This window comes from Homo sapiens, chromosome 2 (assembly GCF_000001405.40).
Source record: "Homo sapiens chromosome 2, GRCh38.p14 Primary Assembly".
In the NCBI taxonomy this organism is placed as follows: domain Eukaryota; kingdom Metazoa; phylum Chordata; class Mammalia; order Primates; family Hominidae; genus Homo; species Homo sapiens.
Window position 1 is genome coordinate 190,944,522 of NC_000002.12, and position 21,506 is coordinate 190,966,027.

Below are 21,506 nucleotides of genomic sequence, written 5' to 3' on the forward strand. Positions count from 1 at the left end.
TTGTCTTTGCTCATTGCTATTTTTCTTCTCTTCTGCTTTCTGGCTTATTGATTAGGAGTGCTGTTTTTCAGACCACACAAAGATATATTGTTAGCTACTTTTATAATTGGATATATAAAGAGGGATGCTTATGACCTCATTGGTATCTTTTTAGACCATTCATTGGTGTTTACTGGAATAATATGCCACTGAGAAAAGAAGTTATTTATTTGCTGCCAGTAGCGTAACAGTCATATTTGCTTTTATTCACATTCACCCAACTCACATTTCATTTTTAAAGTTTTAAATGCAAAGAATAAAGGTAATAACTTTTTCTATTTGTCATTTGTGATATTATCAAATTGAATTATTTCTTTTGTTCTTTTATTTTCCCTTCATTTAAAAAACACCTTTGGGTAGCACCTCAATATAAAATTAATATCTCTGATTTTTCTATAAATTGTTTCTTTGTTGCTATTTTCTGATTTCCTATCACAACATATTTCTGTCTTGGTATTGTATTATTGAGGAAGTCCCAGGTTTTGTTAGGAAATTGCTTGACCCAGTAGATAGTAGTTGCAAGCACTGGCCCTGGCATCTTCCAGACTGGGTTTGAGCCCTTGTTCTTCCACTTACCAGCTCTGATACCTTGCTGAAGTTGTTTAAATGTTTCCTGTCCTTTAATAACAGAAATAACATTTGGAGCACTTAGCTGAGTCGAGAGAGTAGGTGCTTCATATTAACTATTTTGTTGTAAGTAATATATAATCTTTAATTTTTTGTCTTCATAGGTTGTCAGATTTTTTGACATGATTATGACTTTTTAGTTTACAAATGAGTGAAATTATTTCAGATTAAACTGGTCATTGAAAAATTTTGAGGCTAGGCATGGTGGCTCACACATGTAATCCCAGCACTTTGGGAGGGTGTCAGGAGGATTGCTTGAGCCCAGTAGTTTGAGACCAGCCTGGGCAACATAGTGAGACCCCGTCTCTACAAAAAAATAACAAAGAAATCATCCAGGTTTGGTGGCACATGCTTGTGGTCCCAGCTGTTCAGGAGGCTGAGTTGGGAGGATCAGTTGAGCTTGGGAGGTCAAGGCTGCAGTGAGCCATGATTGCAGCACGGCACTCCAGTCTAGGCAACAGAGCGAGAGCCTGTCTCAAAAAAAAAAAAGAAAAAAAAATTGAAAATTGTATGCTTTTAAGGGAGTTTATTACTTAGCAAAGTCAAGAACAGAATGCAGTTCTTGGAGGTACCATTTTGAGGTTGTATTTTTAAAGTGAAATTTCTGTAAAACAGAGCTTCTTTCCTTTATAGTAAAATTTGCTATTTGATTTATTCCTCTCTATTGAAATTACTATATGAGAACCTCCTGCATTTGTGTAAGTTTGGAAATATGGGCATGAATTTATTGAATTGCTATTCCTATAAAAGATTTTTTCCCCAACCCTCCGAATCATATCAGTTTGGATTAGTTTTGTCTATATATAGTATATTAATAACTGTGTCTCAGTAAATCTTTGGAAAGCTTAGGAATATGTGGCCTCATACTCAGACTGTCTAATTACAAAAGTAGTATAATTTTTTTTTACACATCCTTAAAAATATTAAATAAGCTCAGTAGTAAAGGAAAGAGGAAATATCTTCAATCACATACACAATACACAGGTTTACTTTTACCCTTGGGCAAGGTGATTAATTTACATATGATGGCAACTTAAAATTTTTCTTTAGCCACAGTATAATAGGTAGTATGCCTCAATTTGACCTTAAGAAAATATAAAAGCAGGCTGAAAGCTTATTTTCATTTAAAGACTATAATCTGCCAAGTTGGAGTGAAGCCTTTAAAACAAAATTGGATCTGGAGTCATGATGGTTTATTTAACAGTTGAAGAAAAGTATCTATTCCATGACAACAGATACTGTACTGAGCTGGAAATGAGAGCAGCTTATCTCAAACTAGAGGTGGTAGAAACAGAAGGATGTTTTTTCAGTTACCTGCTTTTTTTTTTCATTATAGCAGTTCCAAACAGGCTGAATTCATGTTTATATGAAGACAGAAACTAAAGATGAAAAACAGAGGAAATTTTGGTTTGGCAGTTGGTAATGGAGTTAGAAATTAAATAGTTGAAGTAAAGTGTAAAACCAGTGAACCAATTTTTCCTCCGTCTCTCCCTCCCTCCATCTTCTCCCTTTCTTCCTTTTCTCCCCTCCCGCTTTGGTCCCATCTAGGCTTCCTTCCAATATTGAGTAAAGAACTTTTATGGATTAGAGCTAAATTGATATTTAATCCGTTGGTTTCCTTCTGTGCTTTGGATAACAATCTGAGATCTATTAAGGACTCACATCATCATGGTCTAGTTGTACAGAATTGGGAATCCAGATACCTGAGTTCTACTCAAGCTCCATCACTAATTCATATGCTGTGTGACCTTGAGCCAGGGTCCTTAATCTCAGTGGTAGTAATAAATAAAATATATCTATCAACATATTTTATAACCAGCCTGTCAGGGATTTTTAAAAACAACTATAACTGTTTAAAATGTTGAATGTTTTAGGGTCATCCACTATATAAATACAGAGTAATGTGAGTATATAATTCTAATAATTGCTACTTACTCATAAGTACAGAATTATTAGGGCATTTACAGAAGTCACACAACTCAACCTTTAAACAAGCTCAAACTGAGTAGGATAATGATAGGATTAAAGACTTAGGAATGCCATGTTTTAGATGTGTAAAACTGATACACTCCCCACCTGCTTCTAGCTGTTTTGGAAAAAAGTGAGATTTGCTATGCCAAGCATGCCAGTGTTAAGTGAACTCATGTGAACTGTAACATTTTTTGTCCCACTGTTGTCATGACTTTGTACAAATAAACTAAGATAAGATTGTCTGGTTCGGGCAGATTCTGATAAAGAGACTTGATAAGAAAAATGCAGTAGTGCTGGAAAATCTACAAGATGAAGGGGAAACTGTTAACAGTTAATTTATAAATTTTAATGGCTCTCTGCCCAGGTGCAGTGTCTCTTTGCCATGGGGAGGTATACATTAAACATCAGAGCCCTTAATTTAATAGCTATTATTGCGGCTGTGTATAGTCTGTTTCTTTATAGTAAGGAATTATTTATCAAAACATAGCTTCCATGCCTCTGGCATTTACTGTTAACCCATTATTTTCTGGACTTTGGCCTCCTTGACAGGTATTTTAAAATCAATGTAACTCAAGTATCCAGTGGGGAAATAGGGGAATGAGCTTTGATCAATGGTTAGCACACCTACATCCTTTGCAAGTATTGGTGTGGAGGTGGATGACTGATCTTCTAGAGTGCCCCTCTCCTTCAGTTTGTTTGCTATGATAGGCATTCCAGAGGGTGTGTCAGCTTAGTTGGAAATACTCGTGGCGCTCTTTAACAGACCAGGAAGCAGACTGTCCCTAAATGAAATACTCCATCTGTTGTCTCAAAAGTGTTAAACTAGTTTCATTTTCTTTTGTGGCATTCTACCCACAGCTCATTTCATAATTTATGTAAACTTAAAAGTATAGGGGGCTGTTGATGCTAGAAAGAAGAGGAATTTGTGGTTTTGCTTTTAAATAGTGCCTGTGCATGGGCTGCCTCCTAGTGCTTTTCTGTTTTGGAGAGAATTACACTCACTTTGTGTTCAAGCACCTATCTTCTGGTTTGGACTAAATCCAGCTCCATAGCTAGCCTTTTGTTTTCATGGGAAGAATACCAAACTTCCATGTTAGTCTTTAATAATTTTGTTAAGGCGAGCTAGTGTTTTTCCCTTCTGATTAGTTACAAAGCCTTTGTACATTAAAGTTTCCTGATTTTTTTTTCTCATGCTTTTGAATAACAATATACTCTGAATAAACCAAGTATATTCTAAAATCTTCTATTTTGGGCCTTATTAATAAGAAATGGACTTTTAGAACGTTTGAAATGTTGAATAATGAAGTGACTAAGTGCTACACACATACTATAATAAAATCTCTTCAAACGAGCATGGTCTAAATTCAAAATTTTAAAGGGGAATGTGTAGTTCTTATATCCAGTCACTGAAACAGATGAGGCTTTATTGCTTAGAAGTACCAACATAGTTTTAAAAATAATAACTGGGTAATTAATATATTAATGGTATATACAGGGGAATTTGGATTTTTCTTAGTGGTGGGGGAAGTAAGACACACAAATGCTCCATGTGGTCATGTGTTATAGTGCCATAGTGCAGCAAAGGTAGACGGAGATTACTTTTGATTTAAGAGATTGGAGCAGAGTTCACAGGAATGGGTAAGAATAACATATCAGTGAGAAATGGGTGGGGAAAAATGATTTCAGGAGAATAGTATGCACTGTGGGAGGAAGCAGGAGGTAGATCCAGGGTTGTGGTGGGAGTGGAGGTATCTAATTGACTCTGTCCCTAGCACATGCTGTCACAGGGCACTGTGTGGGCAGCTGGCAATAAGCTACATAGATAATGAATGCTGGGCTGGGATGGCCTGGGGAAGACTGACAGCAAGGAAGGGACTTTCGGGCTAGTCTTTGAGGGAAGGGAAGGATTTGATTAGGAATCTGGGTGTTCTTAAGAGCATAGACACCAAGACAAAAACAAGGGCAGTAAGACCAATTTTGCTCTATTGAGGTTGAGAAGAAAAATTAAGTTAGCTGGACTGAAGAACCTTGAATACAAGGCTGAAGAACTTAAATGTTATCAGGAATGATTTTGGGTTTCTTGATACTCCGCTGCTTAGAAACCTGTAGTGATTAGAGCAATGTTTTGAGAATATGATTAGAAGTATGTGGAGAGGTTTTGGAGGGTGGAAGAAGGACCAGAAGCAGAGGCATCAGTTAATGATTGAATAAATCTTGTAATGATATTCAAAGATGTAAAAGTTAAGGTAGATGGGCTGGGCACAGGGGCTCACACCTGTAATCCCTACACTTTGGGAGGCTGAGGCAGGCAGATCGCTTGAGGTCGGGAGTTTGGGACCAGCCTGGCCAACCTAGTGAAACCCCGTCTCTACCAAAAACTACAAAAATTAGATTAGTGGTGGCACATGCCTGTAATCCCAGCTACTCCAGAGGCTGAGGTGGGAGAATCACTTGAACCCGAGAGGCGAAGGTTGTATGAGCCGAGATCTTGCCACTGCACTCCAGCCTGGGTGACAGAGCGAGACCTTGTCTCAAAAAAAATAAAATGCAGGGTTGGGGGCCGATAGAGGAATTAATTTTGCAATTTAATACCCAAAATTGAATATTTGATGCCTTGAGGGAGAATATTCACTTAGTCAATAGATATTTAATGAGCACCTATTATGTGTGATAGACACTGAGTTTACGGTGGGGAACAGAAAGACAAGTGGTCTCTGCCCACATGGAGCCTATATTTAATGAGAGAGACAAAAAACAAGTATATATAAAAATATATATACTTTATATATAGTTATATATAACAAATATAGTTAAAAAGGATATAGTTAACAATACAATATATATATATATATGAAGGGGAAAAGCAAGGTAAGGGATAAGGAGTGATGAAAAGAGGGGAGTGTTTTAGAGTCTTGAGAGAACATTTGAATGGAGACCTACCCAAAGGGAGGGGGAGAGGGAGCCTCCTGACAGCCTGGGGAAAGAGCATCTCTAGCAGCCAGTTGTAGGCCTTGAGTGCCTGAGACCAGCCAGATGTTCTGAATGGAGTAGAGCTGGAAAGGGAAGAGTGGTAGGAATGATATGTGCAGTGTAACCAGGAATAGAGCCTTTAGGGTCCTGAAAGCCATGGTAAAGAGTTTGATTTTCCTTTAGATATGATGGAAAGGCACGGGAGTTCCTTGATGTTTTTAAAAGATCCCTATGGCAGCAGAGGTGATAAGGTGGTGGTTCAGATGAGGCCTAAGGCAATAGTGATAGAGGTGGTGAGAAGTGATAGGATTCCAAACATATTTTGCAGGAAAGAGGATTTATTGATGAGCTAGATGTGGGCTGTGAGAGAAAGAATAGAATCAAGGACTACCCCCCATGGTCTGTATGGTGAATTTGTCTGAATTAGAAAAAGCTAATTCTGTCTCTGGCCAGAAGCAGAAGCACTTCTCAGCACCACTGGGTAAAGAAGCTCCCTTCCTCCCAGCACATGTACCTGGGTGCTAGGACACCTTGGTGGGAAGAGCGTGGGCTGGTAACCCGTGTTGGCCCTGTGGCCAGGCATCCTTGTGAAGGACTCAACCTGCATAAGTGAATGCAGCAGCACTGGATGACTCCTGAGTTTGTGGCCTGAGCAAGTGGGTGAATTGTAGTGTCATCCCCAAACTGGGGAGACTAGAAGAGGAGCTGACTGTGAGTGGCAGAAGACAGGGCAAAGCAAATTCCATTTTGGGTATAAGTCTGAGATGCCCATTAAAAGTCCTGGAAGCAATGTCAAGTAGGCAGATGGCTATGAACTGGAGCCAGGGTGAGAAGCCGGCAGGACTGTTGCTGTTTTTGAGTTTGAAGTGACTATCAAGTGGAGCTGTAGGACTGGAGCTTAGGAGAAAGATTTAGATTAAAGATGGGGAAGTCAGTGTGCCCAGAGGAATAGATGAATTCTTTGAGGGACATTATATTGAAAAACAAGAAGATTGGACTGCCTTGGGAGTAGTATTTGGCAGTGGAAAGTGGGTAATGAATCTGCAAAGCAGCAAACAGGAGGAAGATTAGGGTGATGGAGCAGCATGGAAGGCAAGTCGTGAGAGGGTGGAGGGTGCTGGGGGGATCTGAAGGAATCAGGGCTTAGGAAGCTGCTGGAGCTTTGGAGAGCGCTGTTTAGAGGTAACAATGAGTGTGAAGGTAATTTTCAGGGAATTAAAAATATACTTTCAGGAAATAAGCGCTGAAGGGAGAACAATAGGGTCAAGTGTTGCTTTTTAAAAATAGGATGAAATTGTGTCTGTTTTAAGGTAAACTGAGAGAACCAATGAAAGAGGAAAAGTTAAAGATGCTAGAAACAAAGGGGATCAGTGAGGGAACAAGAACAGGGCATCTAGAGGATAAGTGTTTGAAGGAATAGATAAAAAGTAGTCTCAAAAATGAGGAAGCTTTTTACTTTGAGCGATGAAAACAGTTTTTATCTTTTTAGCAAAGTTGTAGTTAGGATCTTCTGTCTGTTTTTAGGGGTCTCCACTGGTATTAAAGGCCTGAAGAAAGTATGGCGGGAACCAACAAGAAAAAAAAATTGTCAAGCAGTAATGAGAGACCAGGTGGAAATATGGAGAATAATCTGTAATAGCCAGTCAGTATTCTGTGGTCCAAGAGCAAAAAGGGAATTGAGAATTCAGAGTTGACCCCATTAAAAAAGAAAGACATTAAGGACACCTGAAACAGTGGTTTATAACCCAGAAAAGTGCATATCAAAGTCACCTGGAGACTTTAAACAAAATTATGGGCTGAGCATGTTGGCTCATGCCTGTAATCCCAACAGTTTGGGAGGCCAAGGCAGAAGGATTGCTTAAGGCCCGGAGTTCAAGACCAGCCTGGCCAACATAGTGAGACCCCATCTCTATAAAAAACAACAAACTCTATGCATTTACCTCCTTTCCCTAAAATGTATCGGATTGAGGTGTAGGAGTAGGACAACAAGAAATGGGAGAGATGTTTATGTATGTTTTTAGAACATTCTGGGTGATGTTCTTCAGTTCTTTGTTCCACCCCCATTCCCCATTAAGAAAACTGTTCTGGACTCTGGGCAGGAATAGAAAAGGATGGCTGGAAGGGAAGCTAAAGGACTAAGTGGAAAGTTTTTTGAAGTGGTATCAACACAAATAGTAATAGTAGTATTTTGGGGGTGTGCTCAGCTAGTTAAGTTCCTGTACTGCAGACCTTTACAGAGTCTTTCATATGCTCATGAATCTCCAAGAGGGGGATTGAATATTTTAAGATCATATACAAACACAGGATCCTTATTTTCATGGGCCATCTTACGGACTAGTTTCTGCAAATTACACTTTGAAAATGATGAATTAGAGAACTGCAGCAATGATCAGTTCCAGTTAATTTGGAAGGTTCATGGGTTTTGGAAGGGGGAAGCCATACTGGAAAGGGAGAATGTCCGGGTTAAGATCTTGAAGCACAGTTCCAGGCTGTGGCTTTGTTGGTGGAGAGCTGGGTTACTTTCCATTCCCCAGTTAAACTTGTTTTCTACCATTGAGTCCAGTATCAGTTGAGTCATCAATATGAATGTTGAAGTTGCAAAGTGTAAGACAAAATGGGGAATTTATGAAGTATTTACAAATATTCTATGGTCAATAGTTTAATTTCTCATAGATAGGGATGGATAAAGTCTTTATGAAAGCAGACCAAAATCCAATGGCTTTTCAAATAACTAGACTTTTCCTCTTAACTATAAGAAAAGGAAAGTGGGTAACTGTCAAAAGTAGATACACTTTGAAATCTTGGAGCACTTAATAGAGGTGACTTAATATTTTGGAGTTGAGAAACTTTTAAACACAGCAGTGTCATAAGTTCTGAGAATGACCCAATTTGTACCACCTGGGCATTGAACTGAAGGCTGTCTTTCCAGTGAAGTAAAGTTTAAGATGACAGTTAACACTGAATGTTCTCTCTTAAGATTTGCAAAGAAGCCAGTGATTGGTGAGGATAGTGATTCTTGGCAGGGATTAGACATTTATATAGCATGATTTAATTTTTAATAATGTGAATTTTATCAGCATACAGACTTCCTCACAATATTGAGACATAGAAAATGGGAAGGCTTCTAAACAATTTTCAGTTGCCCCAACTGTATGAGTTTCACAAAATTCCATTCTCTTCTGCCAAGTGATATTATTCCATTCCTTCCCTTGTGTATCTTATCTTTATTATTGAATTTTCCCTCACAATCCACTGTTAAAAGAAGAAAGTATCACACACGTGGGTTCTTTTGGCTATGGAAGTGTCCTTGAGATCACTTTTTGCACGTGACTCAGCTGAAGTGTTCAAAGCACATGGAAATCACTTGCCAGTGACAGGTGGACGTTGTATGTGTTTTCTCTCTCCTAAGGATGCCTAAACTTTCTTTTCTTCACAGGTAAAGTCAGTGATAAATCTTTTGTTTGCTGCATATACTGGAGATGTGTCTGCACTTCGAAGGTATGTTTACAGGATGGATTAGCATGCACTTTACAGATATTTATGAAGTTGCTTCTGGGCGAGCAGCCATTTTAAGGTTAAAGTCTCACTTTTCTTTCCCTTTGATAAAAATGACCCCAACAAAATTTTTATTAAATAGGCACTTCCAGTGCCTTAGGCCTGCTTTCCAATCTTGTCCTTTTCTGCCTCCTATAAAAAAGACCATATCTCTGTTTCCCCAAGTAGTAACTGTTCAGCTAATCTGGCTAATTAGTACCAGTGGCTTACTGGAATTGGACAGTGCCTTCTCACTCCCTGTCTACCCTCCATTCCCAATCTTTGATATGTGTGTGTGTGTGTGTGTGTGTGTGTGTGTGTGTGTGTGTGTGTGAAGCAGCTGGGGGGTTTGGTGTCTGGCAGATCATCAGGATTAGTAAGGCCATATACTGCTGTATACCTAAGGTCTTTTGTGTAGAGTTGTAACTTATTTTCTTTTTTTTTTCTCCCATTAATACCTCAAATAACTGATTTTCAAAGTGGAAAAATGTCTGTGCTTCCCCCCCTTGTTTTGAAGTCTGACAAGTACTAGTAGACTGTGAAATGTTTAAGAATGGGAGTCTTAGTAAAACATACAACTTTACTATAGGGATTAGTTTCTTGCCCTTATGAGACATAAACCTTGGTACACAGTTGTGCCATAATTCTTAAGTTGCGAACAATAATGTAATAAAGTTTAATTCTGTGAGAGATGGTTAACATTTAATCTTACCTAAAAAAAAGCAAAGCTGAGGAAGAGAGGTGAAGTGGCATCTACCCAAAACACCTGTGTACTGGTTAATAAGGTCGGTAGTTCCCATTAATGAGCTTGATGAAGGATGGCACCTGACAGGGCCTTAAATGAACTGATGGAGTGAATGTTACCAGTGTGAATTAAATTTGCTTTATATATAATAAATAGCTGTGCTTACACATTTTCAGATTTGCTTTGTCAGCTATGGACATGGAACAGCGGGACTATGATTCTAGAACAGCACTCCATGTAGCTGCTGCAGAGGGTAATACAGGAACTACTCCTATCTATTTTCTTTCCAGATTTAATTTCTACTTAGTACTAAAATCTGCTCTTTTTTTGGGGGTGGGACGGTATAGGTCATGTTGAAGTTGTTAAATTTTTGCTGGAAGCCTGCAAAGTAAACCCTTTCCCCAAGGACAGGTGAGCACTTATGTTACCTTCTAAATATGTCAGTATTTTATTATGCAGGACTGTAATATTCAAGTGATGATAATATTTCAACCTACTAAGACATTCTTGAACCTGCTATGATATCTTATAAAGGCAATAAACCTTGTTTCTACTAGATAGGTAATTCTGTCTCCCATATCCTGTTTCTTATCTAAGAATGGTGTCTTATTTAGAAATTTTCAGGTTGATTTGACCATTAGTCAATACACTGTATGAACAAAACAATTTTTTTTTTGCATTTGGGAAGAAAGAATTGGAATTTTATCCTCATGGATTTTAAAAAAAAAATTTTTAAATTACACTTTAAGTTCTGGGATACATGTGCAGAACATGCAGGTTTGTTACATGGGTATATAAGTGCCATGGTGGTTTGCTGCACCCATCAACCCATCATCTACATTAGGTATTTCTTCTAATGCGATCCCTCCCTTACCCTGACCCCCAAACAGGCCCTGGTGTGTGATGTTCCCCTCCCTGTGTCCATGTGTTCTCACTGTTCCACTCCCACTTACGAGGGAGAACATGAAGTGTTTGGTTTTCTGTTCTTGTGTTAGTTTGCTGAGAATGATGGTTTCCAGCTTCACCCATGTCCCTGCAAAGGACATGAACTCATCCTTTTTTATGATTGCATAGTATTCCATGGTGTATATGTGCCACATTTTCTTTATCCAGTCTATTATCGATGGTCATTTGGGTTAGTTCCAAGTCTTTTCTATTGTGAACAGTGCCACAATAAACATACATGTGCATGTGTCTTTATAGTAGAATGATTTATAATCTTTTGGGTATATACCCAGTAATGGGATTGCTGGATCAAATGGTATTTCTGGTTCTAGATCCTTGAGGAATCACCACACTGTCTTCCACAATGGTTGAACTAATTTACACTCCCACTAACAGTGTAAAAGCGTTCCTATTTCTCCACATCCTCTCCAGCATCTATTGTTTCCTTTTTAGTGATCGCCATTCTAACTGGTGTGAGATGGTATCTCATTGTGGTTTTGATTTGCATTTCTCTAATGACCAGTGATGATGATATTTTTTTCACATGTTTGTTGGCTGCATAAATGTCTTCTTTTGAGAAGTGTCTGTTCACATCCTTCACCCACTTTTTGATGGGGTTTTTTTGTTGTTGTAAATTTGCTTAACTTCCTTGTAGATTCTGGATATTAGCCCTTTGTCAGATGGATAGATCGCAAAAATTTTCTCCCATTCTGTAGGTTGCCTGTTCGCCCTGATGATAGTTTCTTTTGCTGTGCAGAAGCTCTTTAGTTTAATTAGATCCCATTTATCAATTTTGGCTTTTGTTGCCATTGCTTTTGGTGTTTTGGTCATGAAGTCTTTGCCCATGCCTATGTCCTGAATGGTATTGCCTAGGTTTTCTTCTAGGGTTTTTATGGTTTTAGGTCTTATGTTTAAGTCTTTAATCCATCTTGAGTTAATTTTTGTATAAGGTGAAAGGAAGGGGTCCAGGTTCAGTTTTCTGCATATGGCTAGCCAGTTTTCCCAATACCTTTCCCCATTGCTTGTTTTTGTCAGGTTTGTCAAAGATCAGATGGTTGTAGATGTGTGCTGTTATTTCTGAGGCCTCAGTTCTTTTCCATTGCTCTGTGTATCTATTTTGGTATCAGTACCATACTGTTTTGATTACTGTAGCCTTGTAGTATAGTTTGAAGTCAGGTAGCGTGATGCCTCCAGCTTTCTTCTTTTTGCTTAGGATCGTCTTGGCTATGTGGGCTCTTTTTTGGTTATATATGAAATTTAAGGTATTTTTTTTCTAATTCTGTGAAGAAAGTCAATGGTAGCTTTATGGGGATAGCATAGAACCTATAAATTACTTTGGGTTGTATGGCCATTTTCATGATATTGATTCTTTCTAGCCACGAGCATGGAATGTTTTTCCATTTGTTTGTGTCCTCTCTTTATTTCCTTCAGCAGTGGTTTGTAGTTCTCCTTGAAGAGGTCCTTCACATCCCTTGTAAGTTGAATTCCTAGGTATTTTATTCTCTTTGTAGCAGTTGTGAATGGGAGTTCACTCATGATTTGGCTCTCTCTTTGTCTATTATTGGTGTATAGGAATGCCTGTGATTTTTGCACATTGATTTTGTATCTTGAGACTTTGCTGAAGTTGCTTATCAGCTTAAGGAGATTTTGGGCCGAGATGATGGGGTTTTGTAAATATACAATCATGTCATCTGCAAACAGAGACAATTTGACTTCCTCTCTTCCTATTTGAATACCTTTCTTTCTTTCTTTTCTGAGACAAGAGTCTCGCTCTGTCAGCCAGGCTGGAGTGCAGTGGCAAGACCTCAGCTCACTGCAACCTCTGTCTCCCAGGCTCAAGCAATTCTCCTGCCTCAGCCTCCCGAGTAGCTGGGATTACAGGCGTGTGCCCACCACAGCCAGCTAATTTTTGTATTTTTAGTAGAGATGGGGTTTCACCATGTTGGCCAGGCTGCTCTCGAACTCCTGACCTCAGGTAATCTGCCTGCCTTGGCCTCCCAAAGTGCTGGGATTACAGGCATGAGCCACTGTGCCCAGCCCCTTTATTTCTTTCCCTTGCCTGATTGTCCTAGCCAGAACTGCCAATACTATGTTGAATAGGAGTGGTCACAGAGGGCATCCTTGTCTTGTGCCAATTTTCAAAGGGAATGCTTCCAGTTTTTTGCCCATTCAGTATGATATTGGCTGTGGGTTTGTCATAAATAGCTCTTATTATTTTGAGATACATTCCATCAATACCTAGTTTATTGAGAGTTTTTAGCATGAAGGTGTGTTGGATTTTGTCAAAGGCCTTTTCTGCATCTATTGAGATAATTGTGGTTTTTGTCATTGGTTCTGTTTATGTGATGGATTACGTGTATCGATTTGCATATGTTGAACCAGCCTTGCATCCCAGGGATGAAGCCGACTTGATCGTGGTGGATAAGCTTTTTGATGTGCTGCTGGATTCAGTTTGCCAGTAGTTTATTGAGGATTTTCGCATCAATATTCATCAGGGATACTGGCCTGAAATTTTCTTTTTTTGTTGTGTCTCTGCCAGGTTTTGGTATCAAGATGATGCTGGCCTCATAAAATGAGTTAGGGAGGATTCCTTCTTTTTCTATTGTTTGGAATAGATTCAGAAGGAATGGTACCAGCTCCTCTTTGTACCTCTGGTAGAATTTGGCTGTGAATCCGTCTGGTCCTAGACTTTTTTCGGTTGGTAGGCTATTAATTACTGCCTCAATTTCAGAGGCTATTAATTACTGCCTCAATTTCAGAACTTGTTATCGGTCTATTCAGGGATTTGACTTCTTCCTGGTTTAGACTTGGGAGGGTGTATGTGTCCAGGAATTTATCAATTTCTTCTAGATTTTCTAGTTTATTTGCATAGAGGTGTTTATAGTATTCTCTGATGGTAGTTTGTATTTCTGTGGGATCAGTGGTGATATCCCCTTTATCATTTTTTATTGCACCTATTTGATTCTTCTCTTCTTATTAGTCTTGCTAGTGGTCTATTTTGTTGATGTTTTCAAAAAACCAGCTCCTGGATTCATTGATTTTTTGAAAGGTTTTTCATGTCTCTGTCTCCTTCAGTTCTGCTCTTAGTTAATTCCTGTCTTCTGCTGGCTTTTGAATTTGTTTGCTCTTGTTTCTCTAGCTGTTTTAATTGTGATGTTAGGGTGTCAATTTTAGACCTTTCCTGCTTACTCTTGTGGGCATTTAGTACTATAAATTTCCTTCTAAACACTGCTTTAGCTGTGTCCCAGAGATTCTGGTACGTTTTGTCTTTTGTCTTATTAGTTTCAAAGAACTTATTTATTTCTGCTTTAATTTTGTTATTTACCCAGTAGTCATTCAGGAGCAGGTTGTTCAGTTTCCATGCAGTTGTACAGTTTTGAGTGAGTTTGTTAATCCTGAGTTCTAATTTGATTGCACTGTGGTCTGAAAAACTGTTATGATTTTTGTTCTTTTGCATTTGCTGAGGAGTGTTTTACTTCCAATTATGTGGTTGGCCAATTTTAGAATAAGTGCGATGTGGTGCTGAGAAAAATGTATATTCTATTGACTTGGGGTGGAGAGTTCTGTAGATGTCTATTAGGTCTGCTTGGTCCAGAGCTGAGTTCAAGTCCTGAATATCCTTGTTAATTTTCTGTCTCGTTGATCTGTCTAATATTGACAGTGGGGTGTTAAAGTCTCCCACTATTATTGTGTGGGAGTCTGAGTCTCTTTGTAGGTCTCTAAGAACTTGCTTTATGAATCTGGGTGCTCCTGTATTGGGTGCATATATATTTAGGATAGTTAGCTCTTCTTGTTGCATTGATCCCTTTACCATTATGTAATGCCCTTTTCTCTTTTGATCTTTGTCGGTTTAAAGTCTGTTTTATCAGAGACTAGCATTGCAACCCCTGCTTTTTTTTTTTTTTTGCTTTCCATTTGCTTGGTAAATATTCCCCTATCCTTTTATTTTGAGCCTATGTGTGTCTTTGCACGTGAGATGGATCTCCTGAATACAGCAGACCAATGGGTCTTGACTCTATCCAATTTGCCATTCTGTGTCTTTTAATTGGGGCTTTTAGCCCATTTACATTTAAGGTTAATATTGTTATGTGTGAATTTGATCCTGTCATTATGATGCTAGCTGGTTATTTTGTCCTTCAGTTGATGCAGTTTCTTCATAGTGTCAATGGTCTTTACAATTTTGTATGTTTTTGCAGTTGCTGGTTACCCCTCGTGGAGTTTTTAACAACCCAGGGTAGACAAGACAAACCTTTAGAGAAGCATAAACTTTAAGATGATAATTAACACTGAATGTTCTCTCTTAGGATTTGCAAAGAAGCCAGTGATTGGTGAGGACAGTGATTGCTGGCAGGGATTCGACATTTATGCAGCCTGATGTTGTTTTTAATAATAATGTGAATTTTATCAGCATACAAACTTGCTCACAATATTGAGACATACAAAATGGGAAGGCTTCTAAACAAGCTAAAATGTATAAGAAAACTGTTAACTCTAAAATGAATATATTGGAGTTTGTTGAAATTTCTGCATTTGGTTGGAATCAGTTTCAGAAGGCTTCATGAAGTTAAATTTTAATCAGTGCTTTAGGGAAGAGACGAGACTGAAGGCACAGAATGAAAAGAAGGGCATTCTATCTATAGTGGGAAAAATATGCCTAGAATATATTCTGCTCCTCTCCTCTCTCTCCTGGTCGACATAGCAAACTGCTATTCATCCTGCAACAAATGATGTCAACAAAGTGGTCAGGGAAGGGATAAGAATGCAGCTTACACATATACATGTACAGTAAACTCTAGATTCATATCCTTGGACATTATGTACTGGAGTAGAGTATATGAGTCAATGAGTAATGAGAATAAAAGTTTAGAATGGGAAAAAAACGCATACTTGATGGTGGTTTGATATGTATTAGGAGTTTGGATTCATTTGAGAACTGGGAGCTGTATTAAGTTTGGAGCAAGTTGATTACTCTTTAGCTGTATTGTGTTTCTGTTTATTAAGCTTCAATTTTTTTTTTTTTTTTTTTTTTGAGACTGGGTCTTGCCTTGCCACTCAGGCTGAAGTGCAAGTGGCATGATCATAGTTCACTGCAGCCTTAACTTCCCAGGCTCAAGCGATCCTCCCACCTCAACCTCCTGAGTAGCTGCAATCACAGGCAAACACCACCATGCCTGGCTAATTTATTTATTTATTTTTTATTTTTTGTAGAGGCAGAATCTTACTATGTTGCCCAAGCTGGTCTCCAACTCCTGGGCTCAAGCGGTCCTCCCATCTCAGCCTCCCAAAGTGTTGGGATTACAGGTGTGAGCCATTGAGCCTGGCCAACTATCTTTTTTAAAATTAGGGCTTGGGTTTTGTTGGTTCAGCTGTTAGCTTGCAAGAAATGCAGAAAAGTTATGTCAGTGTCTGACAAATGTTAGCAATTTTGTAAGTTTGCTAACACTTTGGTTATCTAACTTTATTCCTATAGTTGTAAAAAAGCACTATGATTAAAAACTCCTTTATTGGCAGTATTCTAAAACCTCATGTTAGGTTGACAGTCTTCTTCCCTTTCCCCAAATTTTAATACCCACCCCAGGTTTCTAAAGCAAAAAATTGAAGAGCATTTTCCTCCTGTGTTTATAATCCCAACTAAAACACTATGTAATACATGTTGGAAATATTACTGTGCTTTGTATATGTATTAATTTTTTTTGCCCTAAATTGGCCTCTAGGAATGTGAAAGTAGATGTACCCACCTGATAAGAAAAAGTGAGCTAAGTAACTAACTTGATAACTAGGCATTCAACAAGTCTTTTTCTCTATTTCATAGAATCAGTGTCACCTTAAATTATAATAGGTTTGCACAGAATTCGTGAATTCTTGAGATAGAGTCTTGCTCTGTTGCCCAGGCTGGAGTGCAGTGGCGTGATCTCGTTCACTGCAACCTCTGCCTCCCAGGTTCAGGCAATTCTCCTGCCTCAGCCACCTGAGTAGCTGGGATTACAGGTGTGTTCCACCACGCCCAGCTAATTTTTGTATTTTTAGTAGAGAGGGGTTTCGCCATGTTGGTCATTCTGGTCTTGAACTCCTGGCCTCAAGTGGTGCACCCACCTTGGCCTCCCAAAGTGATAGGATTACAGGCATCACTGTATCTGGCTGAAATTAGTGTATTCTTTAAAGTTCATATTTTTCATTAATTCACAGAAGAATTGTAAAAAAGGTAACACGCAGTTGACATTCCATTTTTCCAGAAAGACAGATAATTACATACTGTAGAGGATGACTCAAAAGTCTGTTTCAAGCCACTGACTTCCTAAACTAATGAAGGCCTATTCAAAGTCACTTAATTCAGCTGTTTTTTTTTTTTTTTTGATAAATACAAAGATACATGTAAAGTTTTACTTACCTGATTTTAAAAACAGGCTACCAAAATTTATCCAAATATATTAAAAAATGAGACTGTTTTAAAAACCTTTCGTTTCCATATTGTGACTCCACTAAGCGGGTAAAAAGTTCAGGACAGAGATGGAAAGGAAAGAAGGAAACAGGAAGAAGTGAAACTAGGAAGGTGGTGCCAGTGGCACATGGATGAAGAAAGAGAGATCATCAGCCATGGAGAATTTTGTAATGTAAGTAGAGAGAGAGATTGGGTAGGAAGACAGGCTTCACAGTTTGTAAAGTGTAAGGGAACTACCCATCGTACCCTGTCATTGACTAGGGCTGTGAGTTATGTAGTTCTGTCTCCTCTTGCAAAAGACTTACCACTTCTGGCAAGTGATTAACCACTTCTGGCAACTCTTCATTTCTTCTTATCCTTGAATATTCATCTACATCACTCTAAACAGCACAGCCCCAGAAGCATGGAAAGGGGAGTTATTAGTATGGAAAGGGGAGTTACTCTTCTGGTGTAGTGGTCCGATTGAGTCCATGGCTTCCCAGCCTTACCAGAGGTGATAAAAATGTCAATTCCTTTGGGGCCAATCTTGCTCCTCCAGTGTGTTTTAGCCCTAATGAGGTCATGGTTATTTCTAGACTTCTGAGACTTACTGTGGCTTTGAATTGACACAAACACTAATTTTCTGTCAAAGGCTAGAGTGATGGATGTTATATGCCTGAATTTTCTTTGAACATTTTATTTTAAAAGAGATACTTTGGGCTTTTCATGAAACTAAAATTCTGGAACCCTAGAGCAGTCTATTATATCTGTCACCACAAGGACTTTCCTTAAAAAGCTCCCTCCATAAGCACTTGGATGTGTAAACAAGATCCTTTCACAGATCTTTTTCTCTTCCTCTCCATATCCCAACTTGTCTTGGAGACTACTTTTTGAATTATAAATCCCTTTCTGCATTTCTATTATTAATTTTTATTTGTAAAATTGCTAAAATAGCTAAATTTGGCCATTTAACCTGCATTTAAAATCTAGGAATGTGGGGTGATCATCTTTGTACATAAATTACCTAATGACCCTGTCCATGCTGTGCTACGTGTTTAGGTGGAATAACACTCCCATGGATGAAGCACTGCACTTTGGACACCATGATGTATTTAAAATTCTCCAAGAATACCAAGTCCAGTACACACCTCAAGGAGATTCTGACAACGGGAAGGAAAATCAAACCGTCCATAAGAATCTTGATGGATTGTTGTAATGGTCTCAAATCCCAAGATTTAAATCACTTACCTATTTAATTGTGGAAAATGATTATGAAGAACATGTGTATTTCTATCTGGTAGTGATGTATATTTTACATTTGTCATTTCAGTGTTACTGGAGTTTTCTTCATTGTGCACACAGGACAAATCTGATCTCTTTGGGAAAAAATAGAAATAAAACAATCTCCCTCCATAATGTGAGCAATATTACCTCGTGCATTGTATAATTTGATGTAAAAGAAATAGTTACCAATGCTAGCTTGTGTGGTCTTCCATGATTTATTTGTGTTTTGTGAATTTTCAATTTATGGTGATGATCTGCTGATATGCATTTATAAAGTAAGCTCTGTTGTACAGTCTGTCCAAATGGGTCAAGGTTGCCTTTAGAAGCAAATAGTGTGATTTTCAAGACTTCAAATACAAATTTAGTTTAAGTGTTTGAACAACTATATGCACTTACGGTTGTGTGTTTAAAATGTCTCTCTCACCCCCTAGCTTCATGATGTGACTCTTAAAAAACTATAATAGTTAACAACTGTTAGTAAGATAGACCAATTCTGATTAGACTTTATCAGGGAATCTGTTTAAGATATGTTTGGTGACCAAAACGTATGTGTGAATGTAGTTATAATGCTTTTGAAAAATTTTCCTTTTTCTATATCCCCTTAGTCCAGCCTCTCTTCTCAGACATTTAGCTATCTGCCTCTTTCCTTTAGCTGGGAAAGTGAGAGCTGGCATACTATGCAGTTTTTATGTTTTCCATAGTAAGTCAGAAAATGCCTCCTATTTCTGGCATCAGAACTTTGCCATTTGTCTACAGAAGACGAACCAGAGACAAAATTACTAAGTATAAATTAGTCAAGTTTATCAGTCTAAAAAACGAAGGGATGTGCAACTGCAGCTCTTTAAGAAGTTTTTTTTTTTTAGCTTCTAGGGTAAAGATAAATTCAGAAATGCTCTAAGCTACCAAAGTTATTCTGAAAGTATGGGAACTGCTACAACTAACAAACATTTGTTTCCAAGCCTGTCATTAAGAGTCTGCATCAAGAGATTTGTCCTCCTTGGGGGACCACTGGATCATTCCAGATTTCTTGTGATTTTTCTATTGTGTAATTCTTGGTGGGCTCTGTAGTTTAATAATAAGAAAAAGGCCATTTCATTTTAAATTGTGACCTATAATTCTTTGTCTTGGGTTGGTAATTCAGGATTCATTTGGAAAGTGGGTAAAAGGGGCTTCAAAAAACGGATAGAACAGGATTTTCTAGGAGTTACACATACATTTTATCCTGTCATACCTCGAGATAAAGTGGCATGTTAGTGAGGAGTTCTGATATTAAGCACACACACACATGCACACAAATGGACTTCTCTGAAGCTGTGTTTAGTGAAATGAGCTCAAGTACATGAATGTTAGTTGTTATCACATACAGCAAATTCCTTTTTTTTTCTTTTTCTATGAGCACACTCTGCTGCTTCTAAACTTTACATGCCTGATGGCACCTTACTCCAGCAGCCTCCAGGTGCTTTCATTTTCACTTCCAGTCTAAGCCAGTGGCTCCTGCCACTGCCCTCCCATTACCTAGATGGCACCTCCTTTGGTGAAACCACGGCCAATGTTCCTTAGCTGCACCAGGCCCGAAGCTGTTCCCATGCTTGAGCTTCCATGGGGAGGATGCTGAGTGAGCAGTTTCCTACCCCGTGGATCTAGCAAGCCATGGAGACAGGTAGCATTTGTAAGATGCTGCACAGGAGCAGCATTATCCCCAAAGATATTACAGGGTAGACACGTTTTAACTGAAATCAATCAAGATAACTTTATTCAAAGAGCAGCCCGCTTTGTGTGACTAAAATGAAACAAGACAGTTGAATTGTGTGACTTGAAGATTACCAATGATTTTGAGGCTTTTCTATAATAAAAAGAGGTTCTAACCATTATTTGGGAACAAAGAGAGTTTTCATCTTTTTTCAGATCAAAACCATTCTGTAAAATCTTTGTTGTTTAATTAAATGTGCCGTTATTTACCCCTGATGTTATTTATGACTATGTGCCGATTCCTGCTCGGGCTGTTTGCTGTTGGCTGGTAATAATATATTTGATTTAAATGCTGTTGACTGTGCTATTAACTGCTGCCGTCAGTAAACTCCAAAGATCTTTTTGTTTTGGCTTTAGTATCATATGTGCTTTTTCTGTATCCTGAGCGCTCTATATGATCATGTTAATTTAAAGCTTTATACACATTGTTGTTTTTGCTGGTCTCATCTTTGGTAATATGCTATACCCCACTGCTGCCCGACACTGCCCTTTAGCTGCAGAGCTGGATTAGCTGTTGACCATTTGATGCTGTTGTCTGTCTGGCAGGGACTGAATGACCTGATGTCAGATTTAGATTCTTCCTGGGGATTACACAGCTATGAATGTATTTGCTTCTAAAACCTCCCAAAGTGAATCTAATCTTAAAACTACAAGTTGTAAGTATTCTGAAATTGGGAAACATTTATTTTAAATGCAATCAGGTAGTGTTGCTTTTTACAGCATAATAAATATATGTATCAAAAAAAAAACTGTGTGGAAAAAATGAATTTTCTTAAAACAATTAAGAGCCAGGAACTCCACTGAGCATACAGACCATCTCTGGTTAGGTTCCAATCCATTTCTAATGCCTGCTATAAAGCTAGGTACTACACAAGGTGTCAGATGGGGTTGCCACAATGACTAGGACAAGAATCCTGTGTAGAGTTCACCTTTGAAGGTGAGGGATGTGCAGGCATGTCTCTAGTCCTCTAGATGCAAACACTATCCTTTTACAGTTAGGAAGTGCTCAGTAAATATTTGTTGAATGGAACCAGTAAACATACCCTTGAATGAGAAGAGAGGTTATTTTCACAAAGCCTTGAAATTTATTTAGAGAGTTGAAGCTAGTACTGCCACACTAGAATCTGAGTGTCACCAGCCAGTACACCTCAGCTCCTAATTTATTCTGCGTGGGAATAGCATTCGCTTCCAATGCCAGAAATCCCTGGTCTTCAGAGCACTCTT

General features: G+C 38.5%; 1 protein-coding gene across 5 annotated transcripts in view; it reads left to right on the plus strand.

The window, feature by feature from the left end:
• Nucleotides 1-21,031, plus strand: part of GLS (glutaminase) — an 84,732-nt gene extending 63,701 nt beyond the window's left edge. For 4 of the 5 annotated variants that reach the window (NM_014905.5, XM_047443957.1, XM_047443958.1 and 1 more), the window contains 4 exons: nt 9,044-9,105; nt 10,063-10,139; nt 10,234-10,297; nt 18,309-21,031. In NM_014905.5, the coding sequence (NP_055720.3) occupies nt 9,044-9,105; nt 10,063-10,139; nt 10,234-10,297; nt 18,309-18,465 (360 nt within the window). In that variant the 3' untranslated portion in view covers nt 18,466-21,031. The remainder of the gene's footprint in view (nt 1-9,043; nt 9,106-10,062; nt 10,140-10,233; nt 10,298-18,308) is intronic. The other variant, NM_001437282.1, reaches the window with a different exon arrangement.
• Nucleotides 21,032-21,506: the final 475 nt, after the last annotated feature.